This window comes from Homo sapiens, chromosome 1 (assembly GCF_000001405.40).
Source record: "Homo sapiens chromosome 1, GRCh38.p14 Primary Assembly".
NCBI lineage: Eukaryota > Metazoa > Chordata > Mammalia > Primates > Hominidae > Homo > Homo sapiens.
The window spans coordinates 9,458,754-9,475,159 of NC_000001.11; the positions used below are offsets into that span (position 1 = coordinate 9,458,754).

General features: G+C 49.2%; 1 annotated feature.

Annotated features, from left to right (window-relative positions):
- Nucleotides 14,559–15,110: an enhancer, noted in NCBI's record as "H3K4me1 hESC enhancer chr1:9533371-9533922 (GRCh37/hg19 assembly coordinates)". NCBI's record gives its function as "activates a minimal SCP1, AML or CMV promoter by ChIP-STARR-seq in primed H9 embryonic stem cells {active_cell/tissue: H9 hESC(primed)}" and the evidence as "EXISTENCE:reporter gene assay evidence [ECO:0000049][PMID:30033119]".

Here is a 16,406-nt window from a genome sequence, read left to right on the forward strand (position 1 = left end):
CAATTCTCCTGCCTCAGCCTCCCAAGTAGCTGGAATTACAGGCACCCACCACCACGCCCAGCTAATTTTTGTATTTTTAGTAGAGACAAGGTTTTGCCATGGTGGCCAGGCTGGTCTCAAACTCCTGACCTCAGGTGATCCTCCCACCTCGGCCTCCCAAAGTGCTGGGTTTACAGGCATGAGCCACCACACTCAGCCCACTTTTTGGCTGTTGTTATGAATGACGCTGCTAAGAATATTTGTGTACATGATTTTTTAAATTTCCTTTTGTTTCTTTTTTTCCCTACTATTTTTATAACCACAGAAACGATTTTGTTTAGGCATATGTTTTCAATTCTCTTGGGTCTATACATAGGGGTGAAATTGCTGGAGTATATGGTAATTCTATGTTTAACCTATTGAGGAACTATCAGGCTATTTTCTACCTCTATTCACCTTTTAGGAGTCCTAAGAATTAGTCAGTCCTGTTTGACAAATAATACCAGTATAACTGGATCTTTCCAGAAAAAGCCTGAACAAGTCCTACAGTTAAATTTCCATTTTAGCAGGGGGAGTTGGTTGACTGGCTGCTCTGGTTAGCTGAAGGTAATAATAATTTTTAAAGTCCCATTTTGGGCCAAGCACAGTGGCTCACACCTGTAATCCCAGCACTTTGGGAGGCCAAGATGGGCAGATCGCTTGAGCTCAGGAGTTCGAGACCAGCCTGGGCAACATGGTGAAACCTTGTCCCTACCAAATATGCAAAAAATTAGCTAGGCATGGTGGTGCATGTCTGTGGTCCCAACTACTTGGGAGGCTGAGGTGGGAGGATCACCTGAGCCTGGGAGGTGGAGACTGCGGTGAGCCATAATTGTGCTTTGAAGGTACCAAAGAGGGGCTGAGAGAAAATAGCAAAGGTGGGGACAGTGCTCCAGGTGGTGTAGCCAGAAAACCCCTCTCTGCAGAAGTGTATCCGTTTTCTCTTGCTGTCAATTACCAATAACCTCAAACTCAGCAGTTTCAAAGAACATCCGCTTCAGAGCTCAGCATTCTAGGGGTCAGAAATCTGGGTGGGCTCAACTGGGTTCTGTGGTCAGGGTCTCACATGGACAAGATCAAGGTGTCGGCTGGATCAGGCTCCCCTCTGGAGCCTCGGAGAAAGAATCCACTTCCAAGCTCATTCCAGGTGCTGACAGAATCCAGCTTCCTGCAGTTGTCAGACCCAGGTCCCTGCCCCCTTGCTGGCCATCAGCCAGGGTTGCCCTCAGCTACTCAGGAGCACTCTCCTTCCTCCATCCTCAAAGCAGCAGTGGCACCTCGGGTCTGTCTCTCGCTTTGAATTTCTCCGGCTTCCTCCTCTGCACCAGCCAAAAACTGCTCTTTGCTTCACAGTCTTGTGCAATTAGCTTTGGCCAGCAGGATGATCTCCGTCTTCCAGTCTTCAGGTTAACCATGTCATAAGCCATAATGCAGCCCAGGAGTGACGGCACAGTCACAGGCTCCAGGATAAGGACATAAAATGGGCCGGGCGGGGAGGGAATGTTTAGAATCTTGCCAAGCACAGAAGGTGTCCCTGAGACCTGGAGCAGGAGGAGGCAATGAGGGCGTGGCCATGGGAGGAGAAACAGCCCAGACAGAGGGGTCAGCATCCTCCCTGGGGGAGGAAGAGGCTAGGTTTGTGTGAGGCACTGAAAGGCCCCTGGACTGCAGGACAGTGAGTAATGGGCAGCGTGGCCCGAGGCGGGTGAGCAGGCAGAGGAGACCCCCTCACCCACGGAGGCCCTGGGAGACAGCTGTGGACATGGCAGAGCCAGAAGGGTCCCAGGCCCAGGATACTCAGCAGAGACTGCTCTCTAGAATTAGACCTCAAAATCCTGCTTGTTAAAAATAGCTTTATTGGCTGGGCATGGTGGCTCATGCCTGTAATCCCAGCACTTTGGGAGGCTAAAGCAGGCAGATCACTTGAGACCAGGAGTTTGAGACCAGCTTGGCCAACATAGTGAAACCCTTCTCTACTAAAAATACAAAAATTAGCCGGGTGTGGTGGCGCATGCCTGTAGTCCCAGCTACTTGGGAGGCTGAGGCAAGAGGATTGCTTGAACCTGGGAAGCAGAGGTTGCAGTGAGCCAAGATCATGCCACTGCACTCCAGCCTGGGCAACAGAGTGAGACTCCACTTTAAAAATAAATAAATAAATAAATCTAGTTTGGTTAAGGTATAACATATAATGAATAATTGACGTGCAATAAACAGCATGTATTTAAAGTGTACAATTGATAACTCTTGACGTAGGTGTGCACCTATGAAGACATATCCACAATCAAGATAACGGAGACATCCAGCACTCCCAAAAGTCGCCTCAAGTCCCACTGTCATCCCTTACTCCATCTCCCCTTCTCCTCCCTCTCGAGGAAACCAGGGTCTCCTTCCTCTCACAGTGGAGTAGTTTGCATTTTCTAGAGTTTGATGTAAATGTATCATACAGTATTGCCATGAGCTGACTTGTGTCCCCCTGAAATTCATACATTGAAGTCCTAACCCCCAGTACCTCGGCATGTGACTGTATTTAAGGACAGTGTCTTCAAAAAGGTAATTAAGCTAAAATGAGGTCATTAGGGTGGGCCCCAACCCAATATGATTGATGTCCTTATAAGAAGAGGAAATTGGCCAGGCGCAGTGGCTCACACCGGCAATCTCAGCACTTTGGGAGCCCAGAAGTTCGAGACAAGCCTGGGCAACATAGTAAGACCCTGTATCTACAAAAAATACAAAAATTAGCCTGGTGTGGTGATGCACGCCTGTAGTCCCAGCTACTTGGTGGGCCGAGGTGGGAGGATCACTTGGAGCCCAGGAGGTCAGGGCTTCAGTGAGCAGTGTTTACGTCACTGCACTCCAGCCTGGATGACAAAGTGAGACCCTGTCTCAAAAAAAAAGGCAAAATATATTCAATCTATTAAAAAAAAAAGAAGAAGAAGAAGAAAAAAAAAACAGGAGGAGATTGGGACACAGACATATGTGGAGGGACAATGATGTGAGGCCGTCAGAAGGCCCATTTACATGGTGAAGACAGAGGCCTCAGAAAAACCAAGCCTGTCGACACCTCGATCTCAGACTTCCAGCCCCTACAATTGTGAGAACATAAACTTCTATTGTTTAAGCTACCCTGTCGGCAGTGCTTCCTTTTGGCAGCCCTAGCAAATAAACACAGGTATATACTTCTTTCTGCCTGACTTATTTCATTCAGCATATTTTGAAATTCATCTATGTTGTCATGTGTATCCGTAATTCTTTTTTTCTTTGTCAATAGTCCAGTGTACAGATATGCCACAATTTGTTTATCCATTCACCTGCTGATGAACATTCAACTTATTTCCAGTTTTTGCTTGTTACAAATAATGCTGCTGTGAGCATCTGTGTACAAGTCTTCATGTGGACATATATTTCCTTTTCTTTTAGGTAAGTACTTACGGTGAGGTAAGTACCTAGCAGTAGAATGCCTAGGTCATATGGCAGGTGTGTGTTTAACATTTTTTTTTTTTTTTGAGACAGAGTTTTGCTCTTGTTGCCCAGGCTGGAGTGCAATGGCGCAATCTCGGCTCACCTCGACCTCCGCCTCCTGGGTTTAAGTGATTCTCCTGCCTCAGCCTCCCAAGTAGCTGGGACTACAGGCGCCCACCACCATGCCCGGCTAATTTTTTTGTATTTTTAGCAGAGATGGGGTTTCTCCATGTTGGTCAGGCTAGTCGAGAACTCCCAACCTCAGGTGATCTGCCCACCTCGGCCTCCCAAAGTGCTGGGATTACAGGTGTGAGCCACCATGCCCAGCTATGTTTAACTTTTTTAAAAAACTGCTGAGCTGTTCTTGAAAGTGGTTGTACTATTTTACATTCCCGCCAGCAAAGAATGAGAGTTCCAGTTTCTCCGCATCTTCACCAGTACTTAGTATGGTCAGTCTTTTCCATTTAAGCCATTCCAGTAGGCAGATGGCAGTATCACTTTGTGGCTTTAATTTGCATTTCCCTAACAACTAATGATTTTAGTACTTTCTTATATGCTAATTGGCCATCCAATAAGCAAAATATAGACTTATTAAATAAATAAGCAGTTGTTTGTTCAAACATTTTGTCCATTTTTATTTTTATTTTTTGAGACAGTGTCTCGCTCTGTCACGCAAACTGGAGTGCAGTGGTACCATCACAGCTCACTGCAGCCTCAACCTCCTGGCTCAAATCATCCTCCCAAGTAGCTGGGACTGTAGGTATGCGCCACCGTGCCCAGCTAATTTTTTGACTTTTTGTAGATACAGGGTCTCACTATGTTGCCCAGGCTGGTCTTGAACTCCTGAGCTCAAGCAATCCCTCAGCCTCCCAAAGTGCTGGGATTTCAGGTGTGAGTCACCATGCCCAATCTGTCCATTTTTTAAATGAGCTGTTTTCTTACTAACTTTTGAGAGTTATTTATACATTTTGAATACAAATCCTTTATTAGATATATGACTTACAAATATTTTCTCGTCACTCTCTTCATACTGTCTTAAAAAAAACACAAAGTAGCTGGGCGCTGTGGCTCACACCTGTAATCCCAGCACTTTGGGAGGCTGAGGCAGGCAAACCACAAGGTCAGGAGTTCGAGACCAGCCTGACCAATATGGTGAAACCTCATCTCTACTAAAAATACAAAAATTAGCCAGACGTGGTGGCACGTGCCTGTAATCCCAGCTACTGAGGAGGCTGAGGCAAGAGAATCGCTTGAACTTGGGAAGCGGAGGTTACAGTGAGTTGAAATCGCACCACTGCACTCTAGCCTGGGTGACAGAGCAAGACTCTGTCTCAAAAAAAAAAAAAAAAAAAAGTTTTAACTTTTCATTAAGTAGAATTCTATTTGTTCTTTAATGGATCATACTTTTGCTACTGTATCTAAGGAACCTTTGCCTAACTCAAGGTTACAAAGTTTTTTCCTATGTTTTCTTCTAGAAGTTTTGTGCTTTTAAGTCTTACATTTAGTTACATTTAGGTCTACTTTGTTTTTTTTTTTTTGAGACGGAGTCTCGTTCTGTCGCCCAGGCTGGAGAGCAGTGGCTTGATCTCCGCTCACTGCAAGCTCCGCCTCCCAGGTTCACACCATTCTCCTGTCTCAGCCTCCCGAGTAGCTGGGACTACAGGCGCCCGCCACAACTCCTGGCTAATTTTTTGTATTTTTAGTAGAGACGGGGTTTCACCCTGTTAGCCAGGATGGTCTCGATCTCCTGACCTCGTGATCCGCCCACCTCAGCCTCCCAAAGTGCTGGGATTACAAGCGTGAGCCACCGCGCCCAGCCCATTTAGGTCTACTTTGAATTAATATTTTTATATGGTACAGGGTGTGAATCGAGACTCATTTTTTCACATATGGATATTCAGTTGTTCTAACACATTTGTTGAAATGACCATACTTTTCCCACTGAATTGCCTTTGTTTTTTGTTTGTTTGTTTGTTTTTGAGACAGAGTTTTGCTCTGTCGCCCAGGCTGGAGTGCAGTGGTGCAATCTCGGCTCTACAGCCTCTGCCTCCTGGGTTTGAGTGATTCTCCCGCCTCAGCCACCCGAGTAGCTGGGATTACAGGCACCCAAGTAGCTGGGATTACAGGCACGCCTGGCTAATTTTTGTATTTTTAGTAGAGACGGGGTTTCTCCATGTTGGCCAGGCTGGTCTCGAATTCCTGACCTCAAGTCACCTGCCCACCTTAGCCTCCCAAAGTGCTGGAATTACAGGCGTGAGCCACTGCGCCCGGCCACACTGAATTGCCTTTGAACCTTTGTTGAAAATCTGTTGTACTTTTTAATGTGGGTCTATTTCCGGGTTCTCTATTCTGTTCCATTTATCTATTTGTCTTTACATCAGTACCATACTGCCTTGATTATCATAGCTATATAATAAGACCTGAAATCAGATAGTGTAAGCCCTCCTACTTTGTTGTTTACCGAAGTTGTTTTGGCAATTCTATGTCCTGTGCATTTCCATTCGAATTTTGGAATCAATTTTGTCCATCTCTTTTTTTTTTTTTTTTTTTTTGAGACAGAGTCTGGCTTTGTTGCCTAGGCTGGAGTGCAATGGCATGATCTCAGCTCACTGCAACCTCTGCCTCCAAGGTTCAAGCTATTCTCCTGCTTCAGCCTCCCAAGTAGCTGGGATTACAGGTGTGCACCACCATGCCTGGCTAATTTTTGTATTTTTAGTAGAGATGGGATTTCACCATACTGACCAGGCTGGTCTCAAACTCCTGACCTCAGGTGATCCGCCTGCCTCAGCCTCCCAAAGTCCTGGGACTACAGGAGTGAGCCACTGCGCCTGACTCAATTTTGTTCATTTCTAAAAAAAAAAAAAAAAGAAAAAAAATCTTGCTGGAATTGGGGTTACATATCTGTAGATCAACTTGGAGTGAAATTTTGGAGAGAATTAACATCCGAACGGTATATTTTTGTTTTTTATGATTTTTTGGGGTTTTTTTTTTGTTTTTTTTGAGACGGAGTCTCACTCTGTCACCCAGGCTGGAGTACAATGGCACAATCTTGGCTCACTGCAACCTCCACCTCCCGGGTTCAAGCGATTCTCTTGCCTCAGCCTCCTGAGTGGCTGGGATTACAGGCATGCGCCACCACGCCCGGCTAATTTTTTGTATTTTTAGTAGAGACAGGGTTTCGCCATGTTGGTCAGGCTGGTCTCAAACTCCTGACCTCAGGTAATCCACCAGCCTCGGCCTCCCAAAATGCTGAGATTACAGGCATGAGCCACGGTGTATTTTTAAATCAAGATATAATTTATATACCATAAAATTCACCGCTTTAAAATGTACAATTTAGGCTGGGCATGGTGGCTCATGCCTTCCAAAGTGCTGGGATCACAGGAGTGAGCCACCACAGCCAGCCCGACATCAGCTTTTAAAACACGTGTATTTGTTCGTTCTTCCTCAAAGTACACCACATATTGCCTGGGAGTGTGGCTGGCTGGAGTTTGGATAGTCGCTGAACTCTAGAACTGACGGGAAACTTAGAAAAGGTACGGTGCAGAGGTTGCAAACCGGCTGCCCAGAGGCCAACTTGGCAATCAGATGTGTTTGTGTGGCCTATACAGGATGTCCTGAAGGTGTGAGCCAACGTTTCAGAATTTGGTAGCTTTCACAAACATTTTTTTAAAAATCAGCCATCTGGCAGCCCAGGCCCGCACCCCTCCTGGCCGATGGTGGGATGTGCAGGGTGGAGGAGCCTCTTCTGCAGGTCCCCTTGGTGCTGCCACCCACACAGAGCCCCAATGCCCTAATATCTGCCCTCTCCCCTGCCTGCACCACTCCCCAAAATATGCCTTTTAGAGATAAACCCTGGGGAGGTTCCCTAATTTTCATGGGGCAAATTGTGCACGCTGACCATGAAACCTGTGCTTCTTCCCACTCTGTGGACGTCCCCTCCCTCTACAGTGACCAACTCAGTCTGGTTTGCTTAGTCTCTGGGTTTCCGTACAGAAAGTCCTGTAGCCCTGGAACCCTCCCAGTCCCAGGCAAACCGGGATGGTTGGCCACACTACCGCTCACTTCCTATCCTTCTCCCCCACAAAAAAATTAAATAAGATAAAACAAAATGTAATTTAGGCAGGGTGTGGTGGCTCACACCTGTAATCCCCGCACTTTGGGAGGCCGAGGTAAGCAGATCACTTGAAGCCAGGAGTTCAAGACCAGCCTGACCACATGGCGAAACCCCCTTCCTACTAAAACTTCAAAAGTTAGCCAGGAGTGGTGGCGCACCCCTGTAATCCCAGCTACTCAGGAGGCACAAGAATCACTTGAATGCAGGAGGCACAGTCTGTAGTGAGCCGAGATTACATCGCTGTACTCCAGCCTGGACAACAGAGCAAGACTCTGTCTAAAACAAAAAAAAAAGCAATTTAATTAAAAAGCAGAGTTTTGTTGAACTAAGATTTCATCTCCTCTCTGGCCTGCTTGCTGGGCTAGACATGGAAGCTGCCAGCGCCATCATCTCTGATTTTTTCGTGGTGGAAGAGGTGAGTTGTGCCGTCCTTCACCACAGTGACCTCCTGGGGCCCAGCGCCTGACTCTGTGTCTGTGATGGAGGACACCTCACATAGGATGGGCCCCAAGTCCCAGCCGACAGCAGCACACACACGCCTTGCTGCCAGATGGCAGCGCGAGCCTCTGTTTATGATTAGGTGGCAGACTACACTCGGAACCCAGCAAGCCGATGATGAAAGCTGTTAAAAGAACATTGTTATATGACTTTTCATAGTTTCCCAAGTAAATATTACACTCACTGCTGCTTGAATTACTAATGCTTTGGAAGTGGAGGCCGAAATCCATTCCCAAACAGACTCCCTTTTTTTTCCCTGTCACCTAGGCGCTCGGCATTGTTGTCGAATTGTTTTCCCGGGCTCGCCCGTCCTCACAGCTCAGTACATTCCCTCCGAGTGATCTCTTGGCACCTCTGAAGCCCGAGTTTGCACAGCCACCTCATTTCCCAGCTCCTCCACGCCAGCTCCCTCTGCAGCAGGCAGCTTGCCGCAGGCAGGTGACCCAAAGGTCCTCAGATAGAACTGCAGAAAAGGGAGCAAATGAAAGGAAGGCAGCCACGGCTCTGCCAAGCCTCTCCAAAGAGACCCGGCTTTGCACAGGCAACTTCAGGTGGAAGGAAAGGACCCTGCTGGAAACGTCATCTCTGGGCCCGCACTGCGGCATTTAACCTCTTCCTTAGGCTGCCCGGAGAGACAACTGGAGAAAGTGCCTTGGACCCAAACAGCTCTTGGGTCCTCACTGTTTTTATTACTGCTTATAAAAGCTAGTAAACAGATGGTTTGGGTTAGAGAAAATATGCAGTCAGGGTTATTAAAAAGAAAAAAAGCAAGCAAGCAGAAGAATGAGGAGAGGAAAGGAAAAAGCAAGAAGGCTTGTATAACAGCGAGGACGCTGACAGCTCGTCAATCCAAACACCCCTGGTCCTGCGTGTGTCTCTCCTGGGCTGGCGTCCTCACCAAGCTGTCTGTCCCAAAAGAAGCCCCCAAGAAGTCCAATCTCACGTGGAAAACGCACCCCCTCCTCTCACCAGCCCCCTTCCTATATTCTGTCCCACACATACTCGTGTCATGCTGGTAAGATGAGTTTGGTGGTACCTGGAGCCAGAGGAAGTGAATGAAGGTTGAGCCAAGAAGAGGCTGTGGATGGCCACAGAGGTAGACAGGGAGGGAAGACAAGAAGCTTACAGGTCTCTCTGGAGAAAGAGGCACCACGGCTATGAATATCCTGCAAGAATAGAGAGGGCAACCAGGGCGTGGGGGGCTCGGTTACGTACCTGGCAGTGACCTTGGCCAGAACGAGGCTGCCGGCTCACACCAGTCCTAAGAGGCCACAGGATGGATGGGCTTGGGATTGAACCACAGGACTAAGATGCTTGAGCAGGGTGGGGGCAAAGATGCTTCCTCCACCCTCCAGAGACCGCCCCATCCCTCGCCCCCAGCAGCCCCCAAGGAGAGAGACCGCGTGCAATATTCTGTGCAAGACATCAGGGGAAGAGAGGACCGGCAGGGACATGGTCCTCGTCAACCTGTATTGTGGTCCTATCCAGCTCCTGAGGGAACTTGTCCCACATCAGAGAGGAAGAAGCCACAACAGGCCAAAAGAAGCTGCGTGTGACCCCTAAGCATCTAGAAGAAACTTAAGACAGCAAGGGCTGTGTGCTTGGAGCCTTGGGGCAAGGACCCCACAAGAGGTGGGCAGAGGTTTCTGTCTCTTTCACTTCAGCTAAAGCAACAAAGACAGAATCAGAACGAAGATGGGGACACCAAGGAGCCACAAAGGAGCCCACAGGGCAGTCACGAACTGCAGTCCTTCCAGGTCAGCCACGGGCAGAGGGCTGGTTCAAGGCGGTGGACTCGAAGTGTGGTCCCCAGACCTGCTCCTGGTCGACTGATGGTTTGCCGCTAGTCTGCCACAAAGTAAGTACAGAAATCAAGAGTTAGTTGGCCGGGTGCGGTGGCTCACACCTGTAATCCCAGCACTTTGGGAGGCTGAGGCGGGTGGATCACCTTAGGTCAGGAGTTCTAGACCAACCTGGCCAACATGGTGAAACCCTATCTCTACTAAAAATACAAAAAAAACTAGCCGGGCATGGTGGCAGTTGCCTGTAATCCCAGCTACTCAGGAGGCTGAGTCAGAAGAATCACTTGAACTTGGGAGGCTGCGGTTGTAGTGAGCAGAGATCGTGCCACTGCACTCCAGCCTGGGCGACAGAATGAGACTCCATCTCAAAAAAAAAAAAAAAAAGAAAGAAATCAAGAGCAGTTAGAAACGTTTAGATACATTTTTTCCCCTTGTCATGTTTGTTCTCCTTATATTTTTTGAAATGTCATATGCAGGATGGGTGCAGTGGCTCACATGTGTAATCCTGGCACTTTGGGAGGCCAAGGCAAGAGAATCAGTTGAACCCAGAAGTTCAAGACCAGCCTGGGCAACATACCAAGACCCCATCTCTACAAAAAAATCAAAATATTAGCAAGTGTGGTGCCACACACATTTAATCACAGCTACTCGGGAGGCTGAGGCAGGGGAGGATCAGTTAAGCCCAGGAGGCTGAAGCTGTGGTGAGCTGTGATTGCGCCACTGCACTCAAGCCTAGGCGACAGAATGAGACCTTATCTCAAAAAAGAAATAAAGGCCGGGCATGGTGGCTCACGCCTATAATCCCAACACTTTGGGAAGCCAAGGTGGGTGGATTACTTGAGGTCATGAGTTCGAGGCCAGCCTGGCCAACGCAGTGAAATCCCATCTCTACTAAAAATACAAAAATTAGCCAGGCATGGTGGTGCATGCCTGTAGTCCCAGCTTCTTGGGAGGCTGAGACAGGAGAGTCACTTGAACCCAGGAGGCTGAGATTGCAGTAAGCCAAAGTTGCACCACTGCACTCCAGCCTAGGCAATAGAGAGAGACTCTGTCTCAAAAAATAAAGAAATAAAAAATAGGGGCTGGGCGTGGTGACTCATGCCTGTAATCCCAGCACTTTGGGAGGCCAGGGTGGGTTGGATCACTTGAGGTCAGGAGTTTGAGACCAGCCAGACCAACATAGTGAAACCCCCCATGTCTCTACTAAAAAATATATAAAATTAGCCAGGTGTGGTGGTGCTCACCTGTAATCCCAGCTACTTGGCAGGCTGAGGCAGGAGAATTGCTTGAACCTGAGAGGCAGAGGTTGCAGTGAGCCGAGATTGCACCATTGCACTCCAGCCTGGGCCATAAGAGCGAAACTCCATCTCAAAAACATCAAAGAAAGAAAGAGAGAGAGAGACAGAGAGAAAGGAAAGAAAGGAAGGAAGGAAGGAAGGAAGGAAGGAAGGAAGGAAGGAAGGAGAAAGAAGAAAGAAGAAAGAAAGAAAGAAAGAAAGAAGAAAGAAAGAAAAGAAAGAAAGAAAGAAAGAAAGAAAGGAAGGAAGAAAGAAAGGAAAGAAAGAAAGAAGAAAGAAAGAAGAAAGAGAGGGAGGAAGGGAGGGAGGGAGGGAAAGAAAGAAAGAAAAGAACGGAAGGAAGGCAGGCAGGCAGGCAGGCAGGCAGGCCGGCCAGGTGCAGTGGCTCACGCCTCTAATACCAACACTTTGGGAGGCCAAGGCCAGTGAATTGTCTGAGGTCAGGAGTTCAAGACCAGCCTGGGCAACATGGTGAAACCCCGTCTCTACTAAAAATACAAAAATTAGCTGGGCATGGTTGTGTGTGCCTGTAATCCCAGCTACTCGGGAGGCTGAGGCAAGAGAATCCTTTGAACCTGGGAGGCAGAGGTTGCGGTGAGCCAAGATTGCACCACTGCACTCCAGCCTGGGGGACAAAGTGAGACTCCATCTCAAAAAAAAAAAAAAAAAAAAAAGGAGTGGCTGGAGCCCACCCTGCAATGGAGGGATACCCTGGCTGCAAAGACTATGGAGCTGCCCCCAGCATCCTGCCAGGAGAAATGAAGGCTTTGGGGGCCAGGGTTCCAGAGATCCCTCAACCCGCCTCAAGCTTGTTAGTGATGCGGCACTACTCTCCATCCTCCAAACTGACGCCAGGCGGATACAAACCCCAGTTACACGGTACATGGGAAAATGATGCTGGGCCCTTTAAAATAATTAAGACCATGGCCTGCGGGCACAGGGAAAGTGCCTTCAGGCCGGGCGCAGTGGCTTGGCTTGTAATCCCAGCACTTAGGGAGGCTGAGGCAGGCGGATCACCTGAGATCAGGAGTTCAAGACCAGCCTGGCCAACACAGTGAAACCCCATCTCTACTAAAAATACAAAAATTAGCTGGGTGTGGAGGCAGGCACCTGTAATCCCAGCTACTTCGGAGGCTGAAGCAGGAGAATCGCTTGAACCCAGGAGGCAGAAGTTGCTGTGAGCCAAGATCGTGCCACTGCCCTCCAGCCTGGGCAGCTGAGCAAGACTCCATCTCAAATAAATAAATAAATAAGAATGTGCCTTCTACTTCCTTTATTCTCTCCTCCCCGGAGCTGGAGGTGAGGAGGGCAACTCAAGCCTAAAAATCCCACTGGCTTCAACCCAGGAGAGAACAGAGTGTATGATTCCATTTATATAAAGCACAAAAACAAGCAAAAGTAGCCAGTGAGGAGATGGGATGATCTGTGCAGCAAACGAACACGACACACGCTTACCTATGTAACAAACCTATACATCCTGCACATGTATCCCAGAACTTAAAAGTTACAAAAGAAACAGAAAACAAATAAACTAACAAGCAACCAGTGCTATGAGAAGTTAGAATGGCACTCACTTTGGGGGTACAGTGACAAGGACTGGGGAGTAAGGAGGACTCCTGGGGGTTGGCTGTGTGCCTACCCTTGATCTGGGCGTGTTCTGTTTGCAAAAATTGCAGTTTGTGAAGGGTATATGCTTATGGTTTGTACACTTTGTACATGGATATCAAACTTCAATAAGAAGTTTTTAAAATCTGTGGGCTCTAACCACAACGCAAAAATAAAATATTAGCACCGAGGTCTTGTGAGACTCTTCTGCTGTGTTAAAAGCGCTCCGTCGTAGGACCACGGGAAAACGAGCAATGTCCTTGCAAGAGAAGCCGGGATTTGATTTTTGGGTCACTGTTTTCCCAGGTGGTTGCAGGGCAGGGGGACGGTTGACTCATTTTCCCTGCTCCCCCCACCCCGCCCTCATCCCCACCATTTGGGGCTGGATGGGGGCCAAGGGCCGGGAGATTTGGGCTGTTGCCTTGGTGATGCTTAAATATTGGCTTCAAGTTGTGATGGTAAAATAAATACGCAAGAGGCTTGGGGAGCTCCAACCGGTCCTGCCCGCTGTTCCCAGGTCGCCATTCAAAACCACAAAGGTGGCTCAAGTACTGTGAAGCCTGGAACTCTCACCTGGGTGGACAGGGGACAGGTTAGGAGCAGGTTGTGTCCTGGATGCTCAGGGATCCAGGCTCGCTGCAGACGTCCACTCTGAATAGACGCTCCTGAAATTCTAGCTCAGTTTTCTGGAAATGTAGCGGCCAGGAATGCAAATCCTGAGCATGGGGAAGTTTGCTCAACCTGTAAAGGCTGGATGGGCACAGAGGGAGTTCGAGAGCTACAATTCTGCTGTCAGGAGACGTGCTTGCCTTCAGAAGGCAAGGGCAAAGAAAACAGAGCTGTGTCTAGAGGCCAGGAGCCAGGCCACATTCAGCCCCTAACCTGCCCCCTGTCCCCTGTCCCCCCCGCCAGGTGAGAGTTCCAGGCTTCACAATACTTAAGCCACTTTCGCAGCTTTGAATGGGAATCTGGGAACAGCCGGCAGGACTGGTTGGAGCTCCCCAAGCCTCTTGCTTATTTATTTTACCATCACAACTTGAAGCCAACAAGTAAGCATCACCAAGGCTTAAAAGATGCCTCAGGCCCATCCTGGAACCAGGAAGCAGAGGAGGTGAGATTCCCAACAGAGCCCGAGAAGACGAGGACCCCGGTGCAGGAAGCAGAGCAGAGCTTTGCCCAAGATAAACTCTCAGTTGTGGTCCTGCCTCTCTTGCCAAGATGCCGTTTGACTTGGAGGTGTATAGCAAGTTCTTAACTCCTCCGGGCCTCAGTTTCCCCATCTGCAAATCATTCTTTTTATAGACGAAGGCAGGAGAGAATAGGACTCCAGCCCTGGGAACACACCCTCCCAGGCGTATCCCAGCGCTCCCTGGCCAGGCAGCTGTGGCAGATGTGCAGAACATCTTTTCGGGTTTACAACTCGGCTGCCCTCAGGGAAGTGGAAACTGTTGGCCTCACCCATTCCCAAAGCATCCAAATCATAAACCGCCACTAAAGTCTTGGCTCAGAAGGTCTGATTGTCCTGCTGTGTGTGCAGGGGAGGGGAGAACACACAACACTGGGCAGGGGTGGGGTGGGGACAGCTCCCTCCGGGCCAAGTTGAAGCACTAGGCAGAGCTGGGAGGGGCCCTGAGTGTTTGACAACCAGCATGAGGTCACAGCCATCCTCCTCCTGGGGTGTGATGTGTCAGCAGGCAGCGATTGGCCTGTGGGCCATGATTCACAGCGGCAAGCATCCCTATTGAAGGCCTCGGCCCTCGGCCCTGCAGCTGCCCTTCACAGCAGACTCCTCACTTTCCCTCCGCCTCCGTCCTTCAAGGGCTCCAGCCTCAGCCGCCAGCCAGCAGGGAAGGGTGACACCCAGCAGCGGCAGGAGCTGGGGGCCCCTGGATACCCCGGGATGGTCCCCTCCAGGGCCACAGGCTGCTGCTCTGAAAAGTGACAGATCTATCCTGACGGTCCCTCTTCCTGTGTCCACACCTCCTACCTCCCACCCCTGCAGGAGGCAGCACAAGGATCCTAGTGGTTCTTTATTGAGCACCTACTATGTGCTGTGTATCAAAGGCTTTGGGTGATAACTGTCCTTTGAGAGGGTGTGTTCATTTCCTGGGGCGGCCATTTCAAGTCATCATAAACTGTGTGGCTTAAAAGAGCAGAAATGAGTTCTTTCACAGCTCAGGAGTCGAGAAGTCCAAAATCAAGATATCAGTGGGCCACAATCCCTCTGAAGCCTTTAAGAAAGAATCCTTCCTGGCCTCTTCCAGCTTCTGGGGGCTCCAGGCGTTCCCCGGCTGGTGGCCACATCACCCCACTCTCTGTCTCTGTCTTCCCACAGCCGTCTCCCCTCTGTGAATGCCTCCATGTCTCCTCTTCTTATAAGCACACCAGCTGTTGGATATAGGGCCCACCCTACATCCAGGATGATGTCATATCAGAATCCTTAATTAATTACCTCTGCAAAGACCCTATTTCCAAATAAGGTCAAATTCTGAGGGTCTGGGTGGACATGAATCATGGGGGCCCACTACAGAGGGGCAGTATCAGTGCCCCCTTCGTACACATGAGAAAACTGGGGACCAGTGATGTGAAGTGCTTTGCACGGAGTCCCTCAGCTGGGAAGTGGTAGAGTCAGGATTTGAACCCAAGTCACCTGGCCCAGGACCCACCACTATACTGTCTTTGCCAGAACCTGACCTCTTCGAGAATTCCTGTCCTGCAACATCCAAGCAGCGGGGAAACAGGTGGGAAATCCTCGGCCTTCAAGAGCAAAACCTAGTCCTGGCCAGGAGCGGTGGCTCACGCCTGTAATCCCAGCACTTTGGAAGGCTGAGGTGGGAGGATCACTTGAGCCCAAGAGTTCAAGACCAGTCTGGGCAACATAGCAAGACCCCTGTCTCTACAAAAAATCAAAAATTAGCCAAGTCTGATGCTGCACACCTGTGGTCCCAGCTACTCGGGAAGCTGAGGCAAGAGAATCACTTGAGCCCAGAAGGTTGAGGCTGCAGTGAGCGGTGATCATGCCACCTCACTCAGCTTAGTTGACAGAGTGAGACCTTGTCTAAAAAACAAACAAACAAACAAACAAAAATGTGGTTCCATACCCCAGTTATTCTCTAACTTCAACTTGTGGGAAAATCCCTGAAAGGAGCTTGCAAAATCACCTTGAGATTCTGACCTATTCAGTGGGTGATAGTGGGCGCAGGCAGACTAGACCCCCAGGCCGGACCTCAGCCTGTCTCCAGCTCAAAGAAGGAGCAGAGACTGGGCTCGGTGGGTCACGTCTGTAATCCCAGCACTTGGCAAGGCTGAGAAAGGTGGATCACCTGAGGTCAGGAGTTCAAGACCAGCCTGACCAACATGGAGAAACCCAGTCTCTACTAAAAATACAAAACTTAGCTAGGTGTGGTGGTGCACGCCTGTAGTCCCAGCTACTGGGGAGGCAGAGGCAGGAGAATCACTTGAACCTGGGAGGCAGAGGTTGCAGTGAGCTGAGATTCTGCCACTGCACTCCAGCCTGGGTGACACAGTGAGACTCTGTCTCAAAGAAAATAAAAATCAGAGAGGAGCAGAGAGCACAGTTCAGCCCAAGGGACCGGTCCCCATGTCCAC